The sequence below is a fragment of the Homo sapiens genome, chromosome 18 (genome assembly GCF_000001405.40).
Source record: "Homo sapiens chromosome 18, GRCh38.p14 Primary Assembly".
Lineage (NCBI taxonomy): Eukaryota > Metazoa > Chordata > Mammalia > Primates > Hominidae > Homo > Homo sapiens.
In genome coordinates this window covers 70086605-70112673 of record NC_000018.10, presented here as the reverse complement: position 1 = coordinate 70112673, position 26069 = coordinate 70086605, and the positions used below count along the sequence as shown (strand labels likewise).

At 39.3% G+C, this 26069-nt stretch overlaps 1 protein-coding gene across 19 annotated transcripts in view; it reads left to right on the top strand.

Moving 5' to 3' along the window:
* The window catches only part of RTTN (rotatin), a 202657-nt gene that overhangs the window by 93014 nt on the left and 83574 nt on the right, over positions 1 to 26069 (top strand). For 18 of the 19 annotated variants that reach the window (XR_430072.4, XR_007066140.1, NM_001318520.2 and 15 more), the window contains 5 exons: positions 2957 to 3176; positions 19870 to 19998; positions 20454 to 20564; positions 24527 to 24685; positions 25990 to 26061. Coding sequence is in view for 17 of the 19 variants with exons in the window: in NM_001318520.2 (NP_001305449.1) it covers positions 2957 to 3176; positions 19870 to 19998; positions 20454 to 20564; positions 24527 to 24685; positions 25990 to 26061 (691 nt within the window). In the remaining 2 variants the exon portion in view is untranslated. Of the gene's footprint in view, positions 1 to 2956; positions 3177 to 19869; positions 19999 to 20453; positions 20565 to 24526; positions 24686 to 25989; positions 26062 to 26069 lie in introns of those variants that run through there. The other variant, XM_047437470.1, reaches the window with a different exon arrangement.

The window sequence follows — 26069 nt, the reverse complement described above, 5'->3', positions numbered from 1 at the left end:
GAACTTGCTTTATGAATCTGGGTGCTCCTGTATTGGGTGCATATATATTTAGGATAGTTAGCTCTTCTTGCTGTATTGATCCCTTTATCATTATGTAGTGCCCTTCTTTTTCTCTTTTGATCTTTGTTGGTTTTAAGTCTTTTGTATCAGAGATAAGGATGGTAGCTCTTGCTTTTTTTTTTTTTTTTTTGCTTTCCATTTGCTTGATAAATCATCCTCCATCCCTTTATTTTGAGCCCATGTGTGTTTTTTGCATGTGAGATGGGTCTCCTGAATATAGCACACTGATAGGTCTTGACTCTTTATCCAATTTGCCAGTCTGTGTCTTTTAATTGTGGCATTTAGCCCGTTTACATTTAAGGTTAATATTGTTATGTGTGAATTTGATCCTGTCATTATGATGCTAGCTGGTTGTTTTGCCCATTAGTTGATGCAGTTTCTTCATAGCGTCGATGTTCTTTACAATTTGGTATGCTTTTGCAGTGGCTGGTACCGGTTTTTCCTTTCCATATTTAGTGCTTCCTTCAAGAGCTCTTGTAAGGCAGGCCTGGTGGTGACAAAATCTCTCAGCATTTGCTTGTCTGTAAAAGATTTTATTTCTCCTTTGCTTATGAAGCTTAGTTTGGCTGGATATGAAATTCTGGGTTGAAAATTGTTTTCTTTAGAAAGGTTGAATATTGGCCCCCACTCTCTTCTGGCTTGTAGGTTTCTGCTGAGAGATCTGCTGTTAGTCTGATGGGCTTCCCTTTGTGGGTAACCTGATCTTTCTCTCTGGCTGCCCTTAACATTTTTTCCTTCATTTAATCTTTGGTAAATCTGATGATTATGTGTCTTGATGATTATGCATTCTTGAGGAGTATCTTTGTGGTGGTCTCTGTATTTCCTGAATTGGAATGTTGGCCTGTCTTGCTAGATTGGGGAAGTTCTTCTGGATAATATCCTGCAGAGTGTTTTCCAAGTTGGTTCCATTCTCTCTGTCACTTTCAGGTACACCAATCGAACATAGATTTGGTCTTTTCACATAGTCCCATATTTCTTGGAGCCTTTGTTTGTTCCTTTTTATTCTTTTTTCTCTAATCTTGTCTTCACATTTTATTTCATTAATTTGATCTTCTATCACTGATATCCTTTCTTGGTGACCTTCGGTTGGGATCTTTGAGTGGACGTGCTGTTCCTTTCTGTTTGTTAGTTTTCCTTCTGACAGGCCCATGTGCTGCCGGTCTGCTGGAGTTTGCTAGAGGTCCACTCTCGACCCTGTTTGCCTAGGTATCGCCAGCGGAGGCTGCAGAACAGCAAAGATTGCTGCCTGATCTTTCCTCTGGAAGCTTCGTTCCAGAGGGGCACCTGCCAGATGCCAGCCAGAGCTCTTCTGTATCAAGTGTCGGTTGGCCCCTACTAGGAGGTGTCTCCCCGTCAGGATACACGGGGGTCAGGGACCCACTTGAGGAGGCAGTCTGACCCTTAGCAGAGCTTGATCGGTGTGCTGGGAGGTCCACTGCTCTCTTCAGAGTCGTCAGGCAGGGATGTTTAAATCTGATGAAGTTGCGCCCACAGCCTCCCCTTTCTCCAGGTGCTCTGTCCCAGGGAGATGGGGGTTTTATCTATAAGTCCCTGTCTGGGGTTGCTGCCACTTTTTCAGAGATGCCCTGCCCAGACAAGGGAAATCTGGCAATCTGGCCATGGCAGCCTTGTTGAGCTGCAGTGGGCTCTGCCCAGTTCGAACTTCCCAGTGGCTTAGTTTACACTGTGAGTGTAAAACTGCCTACTCAAGCCTCGGCAATGGCGGACGCCCGTCCCCTCACCAAGCTCTAGCGTCCCAGGTCAATCTCAGACTGCTGCTGTGCTGGCAACGAGAATTTCAAGCCAGTGAATCTTAGTTTGCTGGGCTCCGTGGGAGTGGGACCTGCTGAGCCAGACCACTTGGCTCCCTGGCTTCAGCACCCCTTTCCAGCGGAGTGAACACTTCTGTCTCGCTGCTGTTCCAGGCGCCACTGGGGTATGGGAAAAAAGAACTACTGCAGCTTGTTTGGTGTCTGCCCAAATGGCCGCCCAGTTTTGTGCTTGAAACCTAGGGCTCTGGTAGGGTAGGCAACCGAGGGAATCTCCTGGTTTGTAGGTTGCGAAAACCGTGGGACAAGCGCAGTATCTGTGCAGGAGTTCCTCAGGCTCAGTCTGTCACGGCTTCCCTTGGGTGGTGGAGAAAATTCCCCGACCCCTTGCGCTTCCCAGGTGAGGCGATGCTCCACCCTGCTTCAGCTTGCCCTCTGTGCCCTGCACCCACTGTCCAACCAGTCCCAGTGAGATGAACCGGGTACCTTAGTTGGAAATGCAGAAATCACCCGCCTTCTGCGTCGATCTTGCCGGGAGCTGCAGACTGGAGCTATTCCTATTTGACCATCTTGCCAGCAATCCCCCCAACCTTTTTTTTTTTTTTTTTAAAAAGGGATGGGGGTCTCACTATGTCACCCCGGCTGGAGTGCAGTGACACATTCTTAGTTCACTGTAACCTCAAGCTCCAGGGCTTAAGAGATCCTCCTGCCTCAGCTTCCTGAGTAGCTGGGACTATAGGTGTGCACCACCACACCTGGCTAATTTTTTTTACTTTAATTTTATTTTATTTCATTTTTTTAGAAATGAGGTCTCACTGTGTTGTGTTGCTCAAGCTGGCCGCAAGCAATCCTCCCACCTCAGGCTCCCAAGGCACTGGGATTATAGGGGTGAGCCACAGCCCCTGGCCCAGTGTAATCGTTACTTGTATTTTATATGACATTCTCTAGTTGGTATTTTATGCTTTCCTTGAAAAGTCTCATTTTGATAGAGACTATTTTCTGCCATTTTGTCTGGTTCATTTTTTTCTATTACTATGAGTTTAAGTAACCTTTTATAGCCAGTAAGATAGCCCATTAAGCCCATTATACTTTCTTGGTGGTTGATTTTCCCTCTTTTGCATACATAGGAAATGCTCGGAACTTCTTTACGTTTTTCAAACGCAGCTGGCTCTGAAACTGCTCCAGTGTCTGAAAGTGACGGATGCGCCTCATTTCTATGGCCTGCCGTCCCTTGAGCGGACCTTACGAGGGATGGCTAACCTCACTGCGTTTCCGGGATGGAGCTCACACTCTCCTCTCACAAAGCCTCTAGATATCTGTGTGAAGTACTTGTCAGGTCTCCTTGAGGTAAGTAAAAATAGCATATGGTAGTTATTTACTATTAGTTGCTTTTACTTTATGCCAGGCCACAAGTGCATTATACGTTACTCTATTCAATGTAGAATATTATACATTATTTATATAAGTCATAATAGTGAAATGTTTTAGTGATTTTTATTAATAGTTAAGTAAGGAAGGTCACTTTTATAAATACCCTCATTTTCAAAAGAAATAAATGGAAACTTTTGATGCTCAAAGGAAGTGTTCGCTAGAGCATTTCAGATTTTGGATTTTTGGATTAGGAATGCTCAACCAGTAAGTATATGATACAGGTATTTCAAAATCCAAACAACTCCAAAATTCAAACACTTCTGGTCCCAAGCATTTTGTATACGGCATACTCAGGCTGTACAATGTTAAAGGATATTTGTTTTTTCTTTTTCTTCCAGTTTGTGCAGTTCTAGATGCTACTGCTATGAACATTCTTATCTTTTGGTGAAAATGAGCATCTTTTTTGAAATTTTATCTTCTGTTATTGAAATATGTAAATATAGCCAATTTTTATATGTTGACCATGTATCAGGCAATTCTTATTTCCAATATCAAAACAAAAGCCTTTAATTTTTCACCCTTCAGTATGCTGTTTATAGTTTTTTTTTGTCAATTAAGAAAGATCAAGTTAAGGAAGTTTTCTTTTGTCCTGTTTTGCTAGGAGCTTTGTTTTTTAATTCATAATTGTATATTGCTTTTTTCTGTATCTTTTAAGATAATCACATGATTTTTCCCTTATATTCCATTACTGATTGATTTTAAAATGTTAAACAACCTTGCATTTCTCGAAACATTTCAGTTAGGTTGTGATGTATTACTCTTTTTATATGTTAGTGGATTTCGTTTCTCAATTTTTTAGAATTCTGAAGTTTTTAGAATTATTCTATTTCCTCATGTAAAAAAGTTTTTCGAATTTTGCATCTTTTTTCTCTTAAAGAATTTGTCAGGTTTTTAATAATCAAAATCATTCCGTTCTTATGACTAAAATGGGAGAATGTGAGATTGTAAGAACGTGACTTTTTCAACCATTTTAAATCTTTTCCTTTATATAACTTTCTTTTTTGGAATAGCTGATTTGCATTGGTGTGATTTTGTTCTCTAATGTTAGGTAGAATTTGATCGTGAAACAATCTTGGTTTGCAGTTTTCTTTTTGGGAAGATTGTAAATTGTGAAATGAAATGACTTTTTTTTTTTTTGAGACAGAGTCTTGCTCTGTTGCCCAGGCTGGAGTGCAATGGCATGATCTCAGCTCACTGCAACCTCTGCCTCCCGGGTTCAAGTGATTCTCCTGCCTCAGCCTCCCAAGTAGCTGGGATTACAGGCGCCTGCCACCACGCACAGCTAATTTTTGTCTTTTTAGTAGAGACAGGGTTTCACCAGGTTGGCCAGGCTGGTGTCGAACTCCTGATCTCAGGTGATCCACACCCGTCTTGGCCTCCCAAAGTGCTGGGATTACGGGTGTGAGCCACTGCGCCTGGCCTGAAATGACTTTTTAAATAGATCTAAAATCGTTCAGAGTTTCTTTTTATGTGTGTCAGCCTTAGTAAGTTATGTTTTTGTAGAACTTAAAAACTTTTTATCTAATTTTTAAAATTTGTTACTGTGAAGGTATTCATCAAATCATCTTACACTTTTAATGTCTGCTGAATCTGTAGTGAGGTCCCCTTTCATTGCAGACATTAATTATTCCTTTCTCAATTTTTCTTGGTTTATCTTTCTAATAGAATGAACCTTTGGCTTTGTTGAGCCTCTCTTTAACTTTTTTCTCCTGTTTTATTTCTGCCAATATTTATTATCTCCTTCTACTTTTAGTTTAGTTTACAGCTCTTTTTTCTAACATTTTAAGGTAGAGGCTTACGTCATTGATTTTTTTAAAAGTCTTTCTCAAATGTGTGTTTTTAGCTCTAATCCTCTAAGCATGGCCTTATGCCATGTTTTTATCATCAATTTAGGTCAAAATATTTCTACTGTGATATAATAAATACGACAATGATATGGTTGTACATAGTTCTATGAGAACAGCCTCATCACAGTGGCCTGACAATTTTGCATATCTGCCCTTGGGCTTCATAGACAAGGCTTAACTACAGCCAATCTAAATCTTGGCAGAATTTCCTGTGATCCTTCTGGAACATGAGAATATGAAAGGCTTATGAGCAGCTGACTATGCAAGATTGATTCTCACTTACTTCACAGTCTATTAGGAAGTCAGTTAGGAGCCCGTTTCTTATTGGTTCCTAGGTTCCGACGAGCACTGGGCTTTCTGCCTTGCTCTCCTTGGGGCATAGCTACAGCTTATAAAACTGCTTTACTGCAGCACGGCATGGGCTTCTCCGCAACAGAGTGTCCTACATCTTTGTTATAGTCATCTGGCCCCTTTGTTTCAATGTCATCCTGTGCAAGGGATACTAGTAGCTGGCACCTTTGTCTATTCTTGCTTTTGCTGTTTATGTAGGTAATAAACTGTCTGAATCCAAAAATTACTCATTGTTTTCTTACTGGACAAATCTGTCAGCCTTGTTTTGATTGCTAACTGTGTTCGGACCTCAAGAATGATTCTTGTAGGAAGCACTGTAGAGTTAGATTTTGAAAGATAAGTAAATTGATAGTGATAGCAATAGACATTCTAGACATGGAATTTTCTGATAAAATTGTATCTATAACCTCCTGTTTTTTTTTCATGCTGTGGGTGACTTCTTGACATCATATAATCTCTACCTATTGCCAGATTATTTTTCAGAAACATAAATTTTTCAATCCAAACCTCTTTTTTTTTCAAGAGCATAAGACTCAATATTTTGCATTTAGAGATTTGCCTCCATTGTAGTTTTTTCCCACATCTCTGAATTTTCAGTTATATCTGGCTGTTTTTCCAAAATAAAAATGCACTTTAAAAAGACTGCTTCTTTCACATAGTTTCCTCTCTTTTAGGGATGGCAATATCTACAAAAAATTTAAGATCTAACTTATTTATTTACCTTCATTTAGTAAACCTTTTCTTATTCTTCCAAGGTTGGATACTTACCTAATACTGTTTGGCCTTTCCTGTAGGTTATATACCTGTAACAATTTATATATGTGGCTATTACTTAATACATTATATTTTTATTTATTTTACTTTATTTCTTTGAGACAGGGTTTACCGTGTTGCTCAGGCTGGAATGCAGTGGTGCAATCACAGCTCACTACAGCCTCAACCTCCTGAGCCCAAGTGATCTTCCCACCTCAGCCTCCCAAGTAGCTGGGGCCACAGGTGTGCACCACTACACCTGGCTGGTTTAATTTTTTTGTAGAGATGGGTCTCACTATGTTGCCCAGGTTTGTCTTGAATTCTTTGGCGCAAATGATCTTCCCACTTTGGCCTACCAAAGTGCTGCTATTACAGGCATGAGCCACTGTAACTGGACCTTTATTTTGTTTTCTGCATTGCTCTAGTAGACTATGAGCTTATAAGTATCATCTTTGGGCTATTTCTACTATCCCATGGCTACTGCATTGACCTAGCACCATGGTTTTTACATAGTGGTTAGTGAATCAGTTAATTAATATATGTGCTACATAATACATATATATTGTGTATAGTTTTTAAATTAAGATACAGTTTGAAAAACATTTTGGAAATGTAGCATAAATGATTATAAAAATATGTTTTATTGTTGTATTTTTATTACTAAATAATGATTTAAATAATGTATATATATATTTTATCTGGTCTTATCTAGAACTTTTTTCCAAAAGCACATATTGTTTTTAAAACAAGTTTAAAGATCATAAATACTCTTTGCTGTACTGTAAAATTTAATATGAATTTCACTGGAGTCCCTTTAATAAAATAAATTTCGGAGAGGTTCCAAGATGGCCAAATAGGAACAGCTCTAGTCTACAGCTCCCAGCATGAGCGACGCAGAAGACGGGTGATTTTTGCATTTCCAGCTGAGGTACCGGGTTCATCTCACTGGGGCTTGTCGGACAGTGGGTGCAGCCCACGGACTGTGAGCAGAAGCAGGGCGGGGCATCGCCTCACCCAGGAAGCGTAAGAGGTCAGGGAATTCCTTTTCCAAGCCAAGGGAAGCCGTGACACATGGTACCTGGAAAATTGGGACACTTCCACCCTAATACTGTGCTTTTCCAATGGTCTTAGCAAACAATACACTAGGAGATTATATCCCACGCCTGGCTTGGAGGGTCCCACGCCTATAGAGCCTCGCTCACTGCTAGCACAGCAGTCTGAGATCGAACTGCAAGGTGGCAGCGAGGCTGGGGGAGGGGTGTCCGCCATTGCTGAGGCTTGAGTAGGTAATCAAAGCGGCCGGGAAGCTCGAACTGGGTGGAACCCACCACAGCTGAAGGAGGCCTGCCTGCCTCTGTAGACTCCACTTCTGGGGGCAGGGCATAGCTGAACAAAAGGCAGCAGAAACCTCTGTAGACTTAAACGTCCCTGTCTGACAGCTTTGAAGAGAGTACTGGTTCTCCCGTTACAGAGTTTGAGATCTGAGAACAGACAGACAGCCTCCTCAAGTGGGTCCCCAACCCCCGAGTAGCCTAACTGGGAGACACTTCCCAGTAGGGGCCAACTGACACCTCATACAGCCGGGTGCCCCTCTTGAGACGAAGCTTCCAGAGGAAGGATCAGGCAGCAACATTTGCTGTTCTGTAACATTTGCTCTTCTGCAGCCTCCGCTGGTGATACCCAGGCAAACAGGGTCTGGAGTGGACCTCCAGCAAACTCCAGCAGACCTGCAGCTGAGGGTCCTGACTGTTAGAAGGAAAACTAACAAACAGAAAGGACATCCACACCAAAACCCCATCTGTACGTCACCATCATCAAAGACCAAAGATAGATAAAACCACAAAGATGGGGAAAAAACAGAGCAGAAAAGCTGAAAATTCTAAAAATCAGAGCACCTCTTCTCCTGCAGAGGAACACAGCTCCTTGTCAGCAACGGAACAAAGCTGGACGGAGAATGACTTTGACGAGTTGAGAGAAGAAGGCTTCAGAAGATTGGTAATAACAAACTTCTCCAAGCTAAAGGAGGATGTTCGAACCCATCACAAAGAAGCTAAAAACCTTGAAGAAAGATTAGACGAATGGCTAACTAGAATAAACAGTATAGAGAAGACCTTAAATGACCTGATGGAGCTGAAAATCATGGCACAAGAACTACATGACATATGCACAAGCTTCAGTAGCTGATTTGATCAAGTGGAAGAAAGGGTATCAGTGATTGAAGATCAAATGAATGAAATGAAGCGAGAAGAGAAGTTTAGAGAAAAAAGAATAAAAAGAAACAAACAAAGCCTCCAAGAAATACGGGACTATGTGAAAAGACCAAATCTACATTTGATTGTTGTACCTGAAAGTGACGGGGAGAATGGAACCAAGTTGGAAAACGCTCTTCAGGATATTATCCAGGAGAACTTCCCCAACCTAGCAAGGCAGGCCAACATTCAAATTCAGGAAATACAGAGAACGCCACAAAGATACTCCTTGAGAAGAGCAACTCCAAGGCACATAATTGTCGGATTCACCAAAGTTGAAATGACAGAAAAAATATTAAGGGCAGCCAGAGAGAAAGGTCCCGTTACACGCAAAGGGAAGCCCGTCAGACTAACAGCGGATCTCTCGGCAGAAACTCTATAAGCCAGAAGAGAGTGGGGGCCAATATTCAACATTCTTTTTTTTTTATGATTTGCTTTTTTTTTTTTTTTTGAAGTATTTATTGATCATTCTTGGGTGTTTCTCGGAGAGGGGGATGTGGCAGGGTCATAGGATAATAGTGGAGAGAAGGTCAGCAGATAAACACTTGAACAAAGGTCTCTGGTTTTCCTAGGCAGAGGTCCCTGTGGCCTTCCGCAGTGTCTGTGTCCCTGGGTACTTGAGATTAGGGAGTGGTGGTGACTCTTGACCAGCATGCTGCCTTCAAGCATCTGTTTAACAAAGCACATCTTGCACCGCCCTTAATCCATTTAACCCTGAGTTGACACAGCACATGTTTCAGAGAGCACGTGGTTGGGGGTAAGGTTATAGATTAACAGCATCCCAAGGCAGAAAAATTTTTCTTAGTACAGAACAAAATGGAGTCTGCTATGTCTACTTCTTTCTACACAGACACAGTAACAATCTGATCTCTCTTTCTTTTCCCCACATTTCCCCCTTTTCTTTTTGACAAAACTGCCATAGTCATCATGGCCCGTTCTCGATGGTCGCTGTCTCTTCAGAGCTGTTGGGTACCCCTGCAGACAGGCTGTCACTTCATGCTTGGAAGATTGCACAGCGGCCAGGCAGAGGCGCTCCTCACTTCCCAGACGAGGCGGCCAGGCAGAGGCGATCCTCACTTCCCAGACGGGGTGGCGGCTGGGCAGAGGCGCTCCTCACATCCCAGACGGGGCAGCCGGGCAGAGGCGCTCCTCACTTCCCAGACGGGACAGCTGGGCAGAGGCGCTCCTCACTTCCCAGACGGGGCGCCTGGGCAGAGGCGCTCCCCACTTCCCAGACTGGACAGCTGGGCAGAGGCGCTCCTCACTTCCCAGACGGGGCGCCCGGGCAGAGGCGCTCCTCACTTCCCAGACGGGGCAGCCAGGCTCAACATTCTTAAAGAAAAGAATTTTCAACCCAGAATTTCATATCCTGCCAAACTAAGTTTCATAAGTGAAGGAGAAATAAAATCTTTTACAGACAAGCAAATGCTGAGAGATTTGTCACCATCAGGCCTGCCTTACAAGAGCTCCTGAAGGAATCACTAAACATGGAAAGGAACAAGCGGTACCAGCCACTGCAAAAACATGCCAACTTGTAAAGACCATTGATGCTAGGAAGAAACTGTATCAACTAACGAGCAAAATAACCAGCTAACATCATGATGACAGGATTGAATTCACACATAACAATATTAACCTTAAATGTAAATGGTCTAAATGCTCCAATTAAAAGATACAGACTGGGAAGTTGGATAAAGAGTCAAGACCCATCAGTGTGCTATATTCAGGAGACTCATCTCACGTGCAGAGACATACATAGGCTCAAAATAAAGGGATGGAGGAAGATCAACCAAGCAAATGGAAAACAAAAAAAGGCAGGGGTTGCAATCCTCTCTCCGATAAAACAGACTTTAAACCAACAAAGATCTAAAGAGACAAGGCCATTACATAATGGTAAAGGGATCAGTTCAAGAAGAAGAGCTAACTATCCTAAATATATATGCACCCAGTACAGGAGCACCCAGATTCATAAAGCAAGTCCTTAGAGACCTACAAAGAGACTTGGACTCCACACAATAATAATGGGAGACTTTAACACCCCACTGTCAACATTAGACAGATCAGTGAGACAGAAAGTTAACAAGGATATCCAGGACTTGAACTCAGCTCTGCACCAAGTGGACCTAATAGGCATCTACAGAACTCTCCACCCCAAATCAACAGAATGTACATTCTTCTCAGCACCACATCACACTTATTCCAAAATTGACCACATAGTTGGAATTAAAGCACTCCTCAGCAAATGAAAAAGAACAGAAGTTATGATAAACTGTGTCTCAAACCACAGTGCAATCAAACTGGAACTCAGGATTAAGAAACTCACTCAGAACAGCTCAACTACATGGAAACTGAACAACCTGCTCCTGAATGACTACTGGGTACGTAACGAAATGAAGGCAGAAATAAAGATGCTCTTTGAAACCAGTGAGAACAAAGACACAATATACCAGAATTTCTGGGACACATTTAAAGCAGTGTGTAAAGGGAAATTTATAGCACTAAATGCCCACAGGAGAAAGCAGGAAAGATCTAAAATTGACACCCTAACATCACAGTTAAAAGAAGTAGAAAAGCAAGAGTAAACACATTCAAAAGCTAGCAGAAGGCAAGAAATAACTAAGAACAGAGCAGAAATGAAGGAGGTACAGACACAAAAACCCTTAAAAAAAATTGGTGAATCCAGGAGCTGGTTTTTTGAAAAGATCAACAAAATAGATACACCACTAGCAAGACTAATAAAGAAGAAAAGAGAGAAGAATCAAATAGATGCAATAAAAAATGATAAAGGGGATATCAACACCGATCCCACAGAAATACAAACTACTATCAGACAATACTATAAACTCCTCTATGCAAATAAACTAGAAAATCTAGAAGAAATGGATAAATTTCTGGACACATACACCCTCCGAAGACTAAACCAGGAAGAAGTTCAATTTCTGAATAGATCAATAACAGGCTCTGAAATTGAGGCAATAATTATTAGCCTACCAACCAAAAAAAGTCCAGGACCAGATGGATTCACAGCTGAATTCTACCAGAGGTACGAAGAGGAGCTAGTACCATTCCTTCTGAAACTATTCCAGTCAATAGAAAAAGAGGGAATCCTCCCTAACTCATTTTATGAGGCCAGCATCATCCTGATACCAAAGCCTGGCAGAGAGACAACAAAAAAAGAGAATTTTAGACCATATCCCTGATGAACATCAGTGCAAAAATCCTCAATAAAATACTGGCAAACTGAATCCAGCAGCACATGAAAAAGCTTATCCACCATGATCAAGTGGGCTTCATCCCTGGGATGCAAGGCTGGTTCAACATGCACAGATCAATAAACGTAACCCATCATATAAACAGAACCAAAGACAAAAACCACATGATTATCTCAATAGATGCAGAAAAGGCCATTGACAAAATTCAACAGCCCTTCATGCTAAAAACTCTCAGTAAATTAGGTATTGATGGGACGTATCTCGCAATAATAAGAGCTATTTATGACAGACCCACAGCCAATATCATACTGAATGGGCAAAAACTGGAAGCATTCCCTTTGAAAACTGGCACAAGACAGGGATGCCCTCTCTCACCACTCCTATTCAACAGTGTTGGAAGTTCTGGCCAGGGTAATCAGGCAGGAGAAAGAAAGAAAGGGTATTCAGTTAGGAAAAGAGGAAGTCAAATTGTCCCTGTTTGCAGATGACATGATTGTATATTTAGAAAACCCCATCGTCTCAGCCCAAAATCTCCTTAAGCTGATAAGCAACTTCAGCAAAGTCGCAGGATACAAAAAATCAATGTGCAGAAGTCACAAGCATTCCTATACACCAATAACAGACAAACAGCTAAATCATGAGTGAACTCCCATTCACAATTGCTTCAAAGAGAATAAAATACCTAGGAATCCAACTTACAAGGGATGTGAAGGACGTCTTCAAGGAGAACTGCAAACCACTGCTCAAGGAAATAAAAGAGGACACAAACAAATGGAAGAACATTCCATGCTTGTGGATAGGAAGAATCAATATCATGAAAATGGCCATACTGGCCAAGGTAATTTATAGATTCAATGCCACCTTCATCAAGCTACCAATGACTTTCTTCACAGAATTGGAAAAAACTACTTTAAAGTTCAAATGGAAATAAAAAAGAGCCTGCATTGCCAAGACAATCCTAAGCCAAAGAACAAAGCTGGAGGCATCACGCTACCTGACTTCAAACTGTACTACAAGGCTACAGTAACCAAAACAGCATGGTACTGGTACCAAAACAGAGATATAGACCAATGGAACAGAACAGAGCCCTCAGAAATAATACCACACATCTACAACCATCTGATCTTTGACAAACCTGACAAAAAGAAGAAATGGGGAAAGCATTCCGTATTTAGTAAATGGTACTGGGAAAACTGGCTAGCCATATGTAGAAAGCTGAAACTGGATCCCTTCCTTACACCTTACACAAAAATTAATTCAAGATGGATTAAAGACTTAAATGTTAGACCTAAAACCATAAAAACCCAAGAAGAAAACCTAGGCAATACCATTCAGGACATAGGCATGGGCAAGGACTTCATGACTAAAATACCAAAAGCAATGGCAACAAAAGCCAAAATAGACAAATGGGATCTAATTAAACTAAAGAGCTTCTGCATAGCAAAAGAAACTACCATCAGAGTGAACAGGCAACCTACAGAATGGGAGAAAATTTTTGCAATCTACGCATCTGACAAAGGGCTAATATCCAGAATCTATAAAGAACTTAAAGAAATTTTGCAAGAAAAAAACAACTCCATCAAAAAGTGGGCGAAGGATATGAGCAGACACTTCTCAAAAGAAGACATTTATGCAGCCAACAGACACATGAAAGAATGCTCATCATCGGAGAAATGCAAATCAAAACGACAATGAGAAACCATCTCACACCAGTCAGAATGGCAACATTAAAATGTCAGGAAACAACAGGTGCTGGAGAGGATGTGGAGAAATAGGAACATTTTTACACTGTTGGTGGAACTGTAAACTAGTTCAACCATTGTGGCAGACAGTGTGGTGATTCCTTAAGGATCTAGAACTAGAAATACCATTTTACCCAGCCATTCCATTACTGGGTATATACCCAAAGGATTATAAATCATGCTGCTATATTCATGGAACTAGCCCAAATGTCCATCAGCAATAGACTGGGTGAAGAAAATTTGGCACATATACACCATGTAATACTATGCAGCCATAAAATAGGATGAGTTCATGTCCTTTGTAGGGACATGGATGAAGCTGGAAACCATCGTTCTCAGCAAACTATCGCAAGGACAGATAACCGAACACTGCATGTTCGTGCTCATAAGTGGGAATTGAACAATGAAAAACTTGGAAACAGGGTAGGGAACATCACACACCAGGGCCTGTCATGGGGTAGGAGGAGGGTGGAGGGATAGCATCAGGAGATATACCTAATATAAATGACAAGTTAACAGGTGCAGCACACCAACATGGCACATGTATACATATGTAACAAACCTGTACGTTGTGCACATGTACTCTAGAACTTTAAGTATATTAAAAAAATAAAATAAACTTCATTTTTTAATTATAAATATTAAAAAAGGTTCAACTGTCAGTATACTAATTAGTTATTTTCTGCTGTCTATTAGAAATGTATGAATTTTAAAAAACAGGTATATTAAAGAGTTAATGATAATATTTCTTAGAAAGTCAGCTCCTCTAGTGCATTTAAAATATAATTCAGTTAGTCTAGCTAGTGGCCTATCTATCTCATTAAGTTTTTCAAAAAAACAACTCCTGGATCTAGTGACCTTTCGAATGGTTTTTCATATCTTGATTTCCTTCAGTTCAGCTCTGATTTTGGTTATTTCTTGTCTTCTGCTAGTTTGGGGTTGATTTGTTATTGCTGCTCTAATTCTTTCAGTTGTGATGTTAAGTTGTTAATTTGAGATCTTTCTAACTTTTTGATGGAGGCATTTAGTGCTACGAATTTCCCTCTTAACACTGCCTTAGCTGTGTCCCAGAGATTCTGATGTGTTGTAACTTTGTTCTCATGAGTTTACTTGTGTAACAAACATTCACGTTACCCGTGAACCTAAAAGTTTAAAAATTAAAAAAAATATATAATTGAACCTATAAGTACCTAGTTTATAGCATTTTTTGTCATGTGATTTATAAATACTCTATTTATCAACCTTTTACAGAGTCAGTCTCCTCTAGAAAATGAGTTTTACTCTTTGAAATCAGGAATAGGTGAGGACCTGCCACAGCGGTAACTAAAGAAGAAGTGAAGTGTTGCCTCATTTATGTTTAGAAACTATCAGAAGTGCTTTTGTTTTAAAATTACGTGCAAAGACTTTAGATCACACCTACGTTTCAAATACCAGAAATTGAAATGAACTGTTAATGTATTGGAGAACAAAAGGGCTTAGTTTTAGGTAAGAAGTGTAGGCAAAAAGGCAGTAGTCCATTCTGTGTTCAGTTGTCTTTGAGGTAATAAAATTTAGTAACAGTTTGTTAGCTAAAGGATACATAAAAAGCACAGTCCCTGTTATGTAATGTTTCGCAGTTATAAAAAATTTGATTAGCCAATCTTGCTTTGGTTTAAAAAGGAGGTCGTTTTGTGCTTCATAAAACATCTCGAGCAGAAAATCTTTATGACTTTATGTTAAATGGCAGGCAAATATTAGGAAAGAATCCGTCACTTTTGTTAAAAATTGTAGCAGGGTAACATTTAATCTTGGGACTATCTGCTTAGTTTATTAATTACATAAACAGGTATCCCTGTTGTACTACTAATGACTAAATTCATCTTTTAAAGAATAAAGTAAGGCTTATGTGAGAGAACATTGAAACAAAGTCATTGTTGGTCCAAATGATTTGCTTCATAGTTTCTTAGTAATTAAAGCTGTTTCCTTTTTGGAAGGGAGCCATATTTCTAATAAAAGATTAGCTTGTTTCTGCACAGTGAAATTTGAATATGAGTATTTGCTTTTTGTAGCTGTGAAATGAGACTTTTTAACTAAGCATGATTAATTATGATAGGTGAATAAACTATGATAATTAAATCTTTAAATCAGATACATGATGTATAATTCCAGAGGTCTGACAAAAATATCAAGTTGAAAGAAAATACTGGCAAAGGTCTTGGCTTGTCATTTATAAGCTAGAATTAAAAATCATTACACAGATCACAGATGTTAGATATCTCCAAAGATGACTTAGAGGAAGATAATAAGGATCTGATCATTTAGATATTTTATTTTTCAAGTAGTCACTTAAAATTTTAAATTTTTGACCTTGGGGAAGGGGCAGCTGTGGGCACAGCTTCAGCAAACTTAAATATTCTTGCCTGCCGGCTCTGAAGAGAGCAGTGGATCTCCCAGCACAGCACTCAAGCTCTGCTAAGGGACAGACTACCTCCTTAAGTTGGTCCCTGAACCCCGTGCCTCCTGACTGGGAGACACCTCCCAGCAGGGGTTGACAGACACCTCATATAGGAGAGCTCTGCTGGCATCTGGCAATGCCCCTCTGGGACGAAGCTTCCAGAGTAAGGAACAGGCAGCAATCTTTGCTGTTCTGCAGCCTCCGCTGGTGATACCCAGGCAAACAGGGTCTGGAGTGGACCTCCAGCCAACTCCAGCAGACCAGCAGCAGAGGGGCCTGACTGTTAGAAGGAAAACTAACAAACAGGAATAGCATCAACACCAACAAAAAGGACTTCCACTCAGAGACCCCATCCAAAGGTCACCAACATCAAAGACCAAAGGTAGATAAATCCATGAAGATGAGGAAAACCCAGTGCAAAAATGCGGAAAGTTCCAAAAACCAGAATGCCTCTTTTCCTCCAAAGGATCACAACTCCTTGACAGCAAGGGAACAAAACTGGATAGAGAATGAGTTTGGTGAATTGACAGAAGTAGGCTTCAGAAGGTAGGTAATAACAAACTCCTCCAAGCTAAAGGAGCATGTTCTAACTCAATGCAAGGAAGCTAATAACCTTGGATAAAGGGTAGAGGAATTGCTAACTACAATAACCAGTTTAGAGAAGAACATAAATGACCTGATGGAGCTGAAAAAAACAGCACCAGAACTTCGTGACACATACATGAGTATCAATAGCCGAATCGATGAATCAGAAGAAAGGATATCAGAGATTGAAGATCAACTTAATGAAATAAAGCAAGAAGACAAGATTAGAGAAAAAAAAAAAACAAAAGGGAATGAGCAAAGCCTCCAAGAAATATGGGACTATGTGAAAAGAGTGAACCTACGTTTGATTGATGTACCTGAAAGTGACAGGGAGAATGGACCAAATTGGAAAAAACTCTTCAGGATATTACCTAGGAGAACTTCCCCAACCTATCAAGACAGGCCAGCATTCCAATTCAGGAAATACAGAGATCACCACAAACATGCTCCCCGAGAAGAGCAACCCCAAGACATGTAATCGTCAGATTTACCAAGGCTGAAATGAAGGAAAATATATTAAGGGCAGCCAGAGAGGTCGGGTTACCCACAAAGGGAAGCCCATCCCTGTTAGTCTTACCAGCGGATCTCTCTCAGACACCCTGCAAGCCAGAAGAGAGTGGGGGCCTATATTCATTAATAAAGAAAATAATTTTCAACCCAGAATTTCATATCTAGCCAAACTAAGCTTCAAAAGCGAAGGAGAAAATCCTTTACAGACAAGCAAATGCTGAGAGATTTTGTCACCACCAGGCCTGCCTTACAAGAGCTCCTGAAGAAAGCACTAAATATGGAAAGGAACAACCAGTACCAACCACTACAAAAGCATACCAAATTATAAAGACCATTGATGCTATGAAGAAACTGCGTCAACTAATGGGCAAAATAACCAGCTAACATCGTAATGACAGGATCAATTCACACATAACAATATTAATCTTAAATGTAAACAGGCTAAATGCCCCAATTAAAAGACACAGACTGGCAAATTGGATAAAGAGGCAAGACCTATCAGTGTGCTGTATTCAGGAGACCCATCTCACATGCAAGACACACATAAGTTTGAAATAAAGGGATGGAGGATGATTTACCAAGCAAATGGAAAGAAAAAAAAAAGCAGGAGTTGCAATTTTCATCACTGATAAAACAGATTTTAAACCAACAAAGATAAAAAAAAAAACAAGGCATTACATAATGATAAAGGGATCAATGCAGCAAGAAGAGCTAACTGTCCTAAATATATATGCACCCAATACAGGAGCACCCAGATTCGTAAAGCAAGTTCTTAGAGACCTACAAAGAGACTTAGATTTCCACACAATAACAGTGGGAGACTTTAACACCTCACTGTCAATATTAGATCAACGAGACTGAAAATTAAAAAGGATATTCAGAAAAAAAAAAAGGGATATTCAAGAGTTGAACTCAGCTCTGGACCAAGCGGACCTAATAGACATCTACAGAACTCTCCACCCCAAATCAACAGAATATACATTCTTCTCAGCACCACATCGCACTTATTCTAAAATTGACCACATAATTGGAAGTAAAACACTCCTCAGCAAACTCAAAAGAATGGAAATCATAACAAACAGCCCCTCAGACCACAGTGGAATCAAATTAGAAGTCAGCATTGAGAAACTAACTACAAACCGCACAACTACATGGAAACTGAACAACCTGCTCCTGAATGACTACTGGGTAAATAACACAATTAAGGCAGAAATAAATTAGTTCTTTGAAACCAAAGAGAACAAAGACACAATATACCAGAATCTCTGGGACACAGCTAAAGCAGTGTTTCACCAAATGCCCACAGGAGGAAGGGGGAAAGATCTAAAATCGACACCCTAACATCACAATTAGAAGAACTAGAGAAGCAATGGCAAACAAATTCAAAAGCTAGCAGAAGACAAGAAATAACTAAGATCAGAGCAGAACTGAAGGCGACAAGAGACACAAAAAACCCTTCAAAAAAAATCAATGAATCCAGGAGCTGGTGTTTTGGAAAAGATCAACAAAATAGATAGACCACTAGCCTGACTAATAAAGAAGAAAAGAGAGAAGAATCAAATAGACACAATAAAAAATGATAAAAGGGAGATCAGCACTGATCCCACAGAAATCCAAACTACCGTCAGAGAGTGTTATAAACACCTCTACGCAAATAAACTAGAAAATCTAGAAGAAATGGATAAATTCCTGGACACATACACCCTCCCAAGACTAAACCAGGAAGAAGTTGAATTCCTGAATAGACCAATAACAGGCTCTGAAATTGAGGCAATAATTAATAGCCTAGCAACCAAGAAAAGGACCAGAGGGATTCATAGCCGAATTCTACTAGAGGTACAAAGAGGATCTGGTACCATTCCTTCTGAAACTATTCCAAATGATAGAAAAGAGGGAATCCTCCGTAACTCATTTTATGAGGCCAGCATCATCCTGATACCAAAATCTGGCAGAGACACAACAAAAAAAGAAAATTTCAGGTCATTATCACTGAGGAACATCAATGCAAAATCCTCAATAAAAGACTGGCAAACCGAATCCAGCAGCACATCAAAAAGCTTATCCACCATGATCAAGTTGGCTTCATCCCTGGGATGCAAGGCCCGTTCAACATATGCAAATCAATAAATGTAATCCATCACATAAACAGAACCAGTGAGAAAAACCACATGATTATCTCAATAGATGCAGAAAAGTCTTTCGATAAAATTCAACATCTCTTCATGCTAAAAATTCTCAATAAACTAGGTATTGATGAGACATATCTCAAAATAATAAGACCTATTTGTGACAAACCCACAGCCAATATCATACTGAATGAGCAAAAGCTGGAAGCATTCCCCTTGAAAACCAGCACAAATTATTCATAAACTCTTTAAAAGGATGCTATAACATTTTTAAAAATATTATAAGCATATTCTAAGTTACAACTGTGTACTAGGAGGGCACCACACATCTTTTTTTTTTTTTTTACAGACTTTAAAAGGAAAAATATTGAAACTAAGAATTTTTGTTTTTGTTTTGAAAAATTACAGGATCTCACTCTGTAACTTAGGCCAAGTGCAGTGGTGCAATCATAGCTCACCGCAAGCTCCAGCTCCCAGGCTCAAGGGATCCTCCCTCCTCAGCTTCCCCGGTAGCTGGGACTACAGGTGTCCACTGCCATGCCTGGCTAATTTTTTTCTTTTTTAAAGTAGACTGGGTCTTGCTATGTTATGTAGGCTGAAGAATATTTTCTTTTAACAATGGTAAAATACCCATAACATAAAATTTACCATCTTATTCATTTTTAAGTATATAAACTAAAAATATTACAACTTTATAAGGTAAGGATTCAATTCATACAAGTCAGTAGACAGTTATATATTTATCTTTATATACCATTGAGAATAAAGCCACCATGAAATTGTTTACATTTGTTTTTCAGGTCATTACTTCTTTTTATGTGGAGCGTGGAGGAAATGCTATGTCCTTCATGGGAAAAGGTGTTACAAAGAGCACAATTCTTTGCTTGCTTCACTTATCCCATGAGATGATGGCCCAGGCTGGGAGCTTGGTGAGCGCGTTAAAGCTGTCTATCTTCTGAACATTTGCTTGAAAGGGAATGTGCTGTGTCCAACACATTTCAAGCATATAAACTTGCCACATGAAAATGTCTCTTTTGACTTTTCTTTTTAGGTAACGTGAATGATTTTTGACTAGAATATTTCTTAGAAGTTGTATATTAACAAATCTGAATCTTATTTGAAATTGATTCAAATGTGCATACACTGGAAAACTACATTTTGTCTACATTATGGGAAAAATAGCTTCTGTCAAAAAATTGTTATGTTTAACTTTTTAAAGAGAAACAAATTTTTTTGTTTGCCTTTTTTGGCTGAATAATGGATTAAAACCAAGTCTAAAATACATTTTCACGTTGTTTTCATTAAAAATTCTTGTTTTAACCTTCCTGCATTTTATTTTTAGAAACTTACCTCAAATATTTCTGTTTCCCTTTTTTCCCTCTAGGAGTGGATGTCACTTTGGTTCTTGCCTTTGGGTAGTCATAGTGAAGAACATATTCCTACTCAACAAGGATTGGCTTGGTTGATTCCATTATGGGTTGATCGGGACCCAGAGGTGAGTGTGAAGGAGAATCAAGTGTATTGTGTTTAGATTAAAAAACAAATGACACGGGGCCAGGTGCGGTGGCTCATGCCTGTAATCCCAGCTTGTTGGGAGGCTGAGGTGGGCAGATCACGAGGTCAGGAGATTGAGACCATCCTGGCTAACACAGTGAAACCCCATCTCTACTAAAAATATAAAAAAATTAGCTGGGTGTGGTGGCAGGCACCTGTAGTCCCAGCTACTTGGGAGGCTGCAGCAGGAGAATGCTGTGAACTTGGGAGGTGAAGCTTGCAGTGAGCTGAGATTGTGCCACTGCACTCCAGCCTGGGCAACAGAGCAAGACTCCATCTCAAAAAAAAAAAAAAGACACAAAACATATATACATATACATAGTTATATTATGGGATTATTGTAGTGACTCTACCTTATGTTTTATTTAAGCCCTGTTTTAGCTTAGGCTGCCATAACAAAATACCACAGACTGGGTGGCTTAGACAACAGACACTTCTTTTCTCATAGAAGTTTTGGAAGCTGAAAGTCCAAGATCAGAGTGCCGGCATAGTCAAGTTCTGGTGAGGGCTCTTCTTCTGGCTTGTAGACGGCTGCCTTCTTGCTGTGTATTCACGTGGCCTTTCCTTGGTCCATGCATGTGGGGCAGGGGAGGGAGGGGTGGTATAGAGACAGATTTGTCTTTTTTTTTTTATTATAATGTTACCAGTCTTATTGAGATAGGACCACTCCCTTATGATCTCTTTAAACCTTAATTATCTCCTAGAAACCCTGTCTTCAAATGTAGTCACTTGAGCATAAAGACTTCAACATATGAGTTTTGGAGGGACGCAATTCAGTTCATAGTTTTCCATCCCTGAGCCCCTGAACTTCATGTTCTTCTTCCATGCAAAATGCTTTTATTCTCCCTCAACAACCTCAAAAGTCTTAACTTATTCCCAAATCAACTGTAAAGTCTAAAGTCCAAAATCTCATCTAAATGTCATTTAAACCACATCTGGGTAAGTCTCCAGATATAAACCCTCCTGAAACAGAATTCTTCTGCAGGTGTGAACCTGTGAACCCATACAAGTTATATGCTTCCAAAAGATGATGGTAGAATAGACATTCCCATTCCAAAAGAGAGAAATAGGAAAAAAAGGAAGAAGTGATGGGTCCCAAGCAAGTCCAAAGCCTAGCAAAGCAAATTTCATTAGATGTTAATGCTCAAGGATAATGTTCTTTGGCTTGATGGTGTGCCTTACAGGCCCACCAGAGTGACAGCATCTGTCTAGATGGCTCTGTGGGATGACCCCACCCCTTTGGCTGTCTTCAAGAGCCCCGCCCATAAAGCTGTCTTCAAGGGCAGCCATGTTCCTGAAGCACTGGGCAGGGTCATCATTCTGGCCCACAGAAATCAGAGGTCTTTGAAACCAAGGAGGAAAAGCCACCCTTGAGTCCTGTGGTGGGATTAGCAGCCTGGGGATCTCTGAATCATTTTTTGGGTCATTCTTTTCATTGAAGAATACAGTAGTCCTCCCTTATCAGAGGTTTCATTTTCCAAAAGCACCCTGAAGATCAGTAGTAGCCAAACCCTCCCTCACAATGCCTACATCATTCACCTCACCTCATCTCTTTATGTAATCATTGTATCATCTCACATCAATACAAGAAGGCTGAGTGCAATACAATAAGATATTTTGAGAGAGAGACCACATTTATGTATTTTGTATTATAACATATTGTTGTAATTGTTCTAGTTTATTTTTAGTTATTGTTAATCTCTTACTGTGCCTAATTTGTAAACTTTACCATAGATATGTATGTGTAGGAGAAAACATAGTAGTTATAGGGCTCAGCACTATCTGTGGTTTCAGGCATCTACTGGGGGTCTTGGAATGTATTCCCCATGGATAAGGGAGGGACCACTGTAGCACATATTTGCTTACAGAATCCAGGAAGTCCAACAGCTTTCCTTCATTCTCTGCATCTTTCTCTGTCCTCTTTAGTTCAAACTGGCAATGTCTTTGCTGATATAATCCCATCTCTATTCCTGGCTTCTGCTGAGATGTCTGATTAAGTCCATGAATTGCACCCGTGATCTTTTTCTTAAATGGGTATTCAGCCACACCCTCCATGTTCTCTTTAGAACAAGCTTTCTCATTTTTTTTGCACAGATAGGCTGAGAATTTTTCAAATCTTGTTCTTGTTTCTTTTTGCTTACCCATTCTTAATTCCTTCTTTAATTCATCTCTCTCCCTTTGCATTTTGCTATAAGCAATCAGGAGGAACCAAGCCAATTTTTCAACACTTTGCTTAGAAATCTTCTCAGCTAAATATCCAATTTCATTGCTCACAAGTTCTGCCTTTCACAAAACACTAGAACATGACCACAGCTTAACCAGTTTTCTTGCTACTTTATAACAAGGATTGCCTTTCCTCAAATAACCTTTTTTAAATAACACTTTCCTCATTTTTGTCTGAGATCTCATGAGAATTACCCATGTCTACGTTTCTGGCATCCACCTCAAAACTCTTCTAGCCTGTAACCCATTACCCAGTGCCAAAGTCACTTTCATGTGTTTAGGCATTTGTTTCAGCAGCATCCCCACTCCTTGGTACAAAAATCTGTATTAGTGTGCTCAGGCTTCCATAACAAAATACCATTGTCTGGGTGGCTTAAAAACAGAAATTTATTTCTTACAGTTATAGAGGCTGCAAGTCCAAGATCAGAGTGTCAACATGGTTGGTTTCTGGTAGGGCACTCTTCCTGATTTACAGAGGGCCACCTTCTCACTGTGTGCTCATATGACCTCTCCTTGGAGCACGCACATGGAGAAAGATTTCTCTCCTTCCTGAGGCCACCATTCCTAGTGCAGTAGGGTCCCACCCTTATAACCTCATTTAACTGTAATCACCTAATAGCTCTGTCTCCAAATACAGGTTGGGGATTAGGGCTTCAACATACGAGTCTTGAGGAGACACAGTTCAGTACACAGCACCCTCATTTTCAATCAAATTTGTTCGAGTATAGATTGAAAATATAAAAGAGAAAAGGTTATAGTATCTATTACCTTCAGAAGAGTGGAAAATTATTGGAGAAGCTTAGCAATTTTGAAAAAAATAAAAAGGATCTGGAAATTATAGACATGCAACACTTAAGTGTCATATAATGAAATTAAATTAAATGCAAAAAATTGCATTTGCATTACAATACAAAATTTTGTATTATTTCTTTCCAGTTTTAGCCAGTTTACTTTTTTCAAGTAAAATATGCTATTACAATAAAATCTTATTTATAGAAATATTTGAAATACATTTTTTAGTCACATTGAACTTGGACTTACTACTTGACAATTTTATGACTGCATTTTTAAAAAATTCTATAGCTGTCATTGAAACTATATTTTTGGATTCGAATTCAGAAATTTACCAAAACGTGTGGCTTGAACAGCAGTGGTTCTACAGCAAGCATATTATACCACATCAATCTTATTTGGGAACGTTTTTCTCTTGAATAACTTTTGAGGAAAATACGAAATGCCTTGTAAAATGATAATTGCCTCTTTGTTTAGAAGTTTTAAGAAAGTTAAAATCATTTATTTGGAAGAAACAATAAAAAATTAAGAAAGGTAGAACAAAGAATAGCTACCTTTTTTAAGAATGAAGAATTGAAATTGTGTTCATAAAATGTAAGTGCCCTATGCTTTCCTTAGAAAAAGGCTTGCAAACTATAATTTTTATGCATCTTTTTATACCCAGTTTTACTTTGCTTTGAAATTTGCTTATATTTAATTTTTCCTATATTACTGCTTTCTTGAATCATGGAATGGAGGACACTGTCTTCTATAGGTGTCTCTTATAATTTAGGATCATAAAACCAATGGATTTTTTTAAAGTGTGATATTTATGTACCAGAAAAACTAAGAATTCATGTTAGGAAAAAGGCTTATTTGATTCAACAACTTTCTCTTTAATTTGAACAGGTGAGATTCACTTCACTGGGATTAGGATCAGCACTGACCACCCTTGAAACGGGCTGTGTGGCCTTAGCAAACAGTTGTCAGAACATTTCCGGTGGGCTCTGGGGAACTGTGGTGAACATTCTTCTGGACCAGTCAGAATGTAGTATGGTGCGCCGGGAGGTATGTCTGTCTTTTCTCCTTTTTTTCCTTAGAAATTCTTTGTGATGGTATCCGTAAGCGATACTTGACTGCCGCTCAACATGGTGGACTGACCACTGACCATGATCTCTTCTGTCTGTGAACACCCAAACAAAATGACAGTAGAGGATTTAAAAGGTATTCATGCACAGGAAAAACTGGAGTCCTTCCTTCCGATAAGATAAAATCGGAATATACTATATTTTAATGTGAACTTTTTTTATTATGCATTGAAAGGTAGTTCACAGGAAAAATTACTTTTATATTATCTCAGCATTTATGGGTCTCTGATATTTATGAAGCTTTAGTATAGATAAGAGGCTGTCAAAATAACTCTTTGTAGTATTTATCATATAACATGAGAGGGAAAAATAAACCCTATTTTAATTCTTTCTGAATAGCTTGTGGTTTTTTTTTATTGCTGCTTTTGTTAAAGTAATGATTCATGTAAATGGTTTTAAAACAATAATCAAATTGTACTTAGAGGCTTATGAAAAAAAACAGCAGCTCCTGGGTCCACCATTAGCAGTCGCCAGTTCCAAGCTCAAAAGGCTAGTTTTGTTGCTGTTTGCCTTCATGTTTTTAAGTAGTGATGTTTATATTTATGGCTGCTTCTTGATTTATCAACTTTAAAGCTTTTCCATCACTTCTAGTTATCATGGTTGGAAATGTCAGTTTCTTAGAATCCTCTTGTTAATCCTGTCATTCTCCCATTATGGTTATTTCATCTTTCATTAAGCAGACAATCAATGCTCCTATTTGTATGATTATTTAATTTGATCATCTTCAGGATCTAGTCAAGTTGGACATTTGTGGTTTGTATTTCTAGTTAGCAAGTTTTTATTGAAAGGAGTCTGTATAAGAGAAGGGAGAAAGCGGGGCAGAGGGGTGCGTGTGTTTGTGTGTGTGTGTGTGTGTAATCTGAAAGGGGATAGTAGAAACCTAAAATTATATTTCTTAAATGCTACCAGAAGAATTTATGTTATACAAATCATTTTTTAATAAAGCTGAATTCTGAAATAGGAAAAGATATATTTCCTGATGAAATAATTTCATATGCTGTTAGGTCATTACCTAACAAGGTCATTACCTAAGAAGGTCATCACCTAACAAGAAATACAGTTTGACAATTCTCATAATGACCTCTCAGCATGTGCAGTTGACCAGAGATGTCTTTTGCTATTAATTACAATATATTGGTTATTTCAGAGATGACCACAAGATGGCAGTATTGACCTTTTTTTTTTTTTTTTTTTTTTTTTTTTTTTTTTTTTTTACATTTTCAGGCGGCATTTATTCTTCAGAATCTCCTTGTAATTCCAATGCCTACAGAAATTATAAAGGATTATACTTGGCAGGTGGGTGA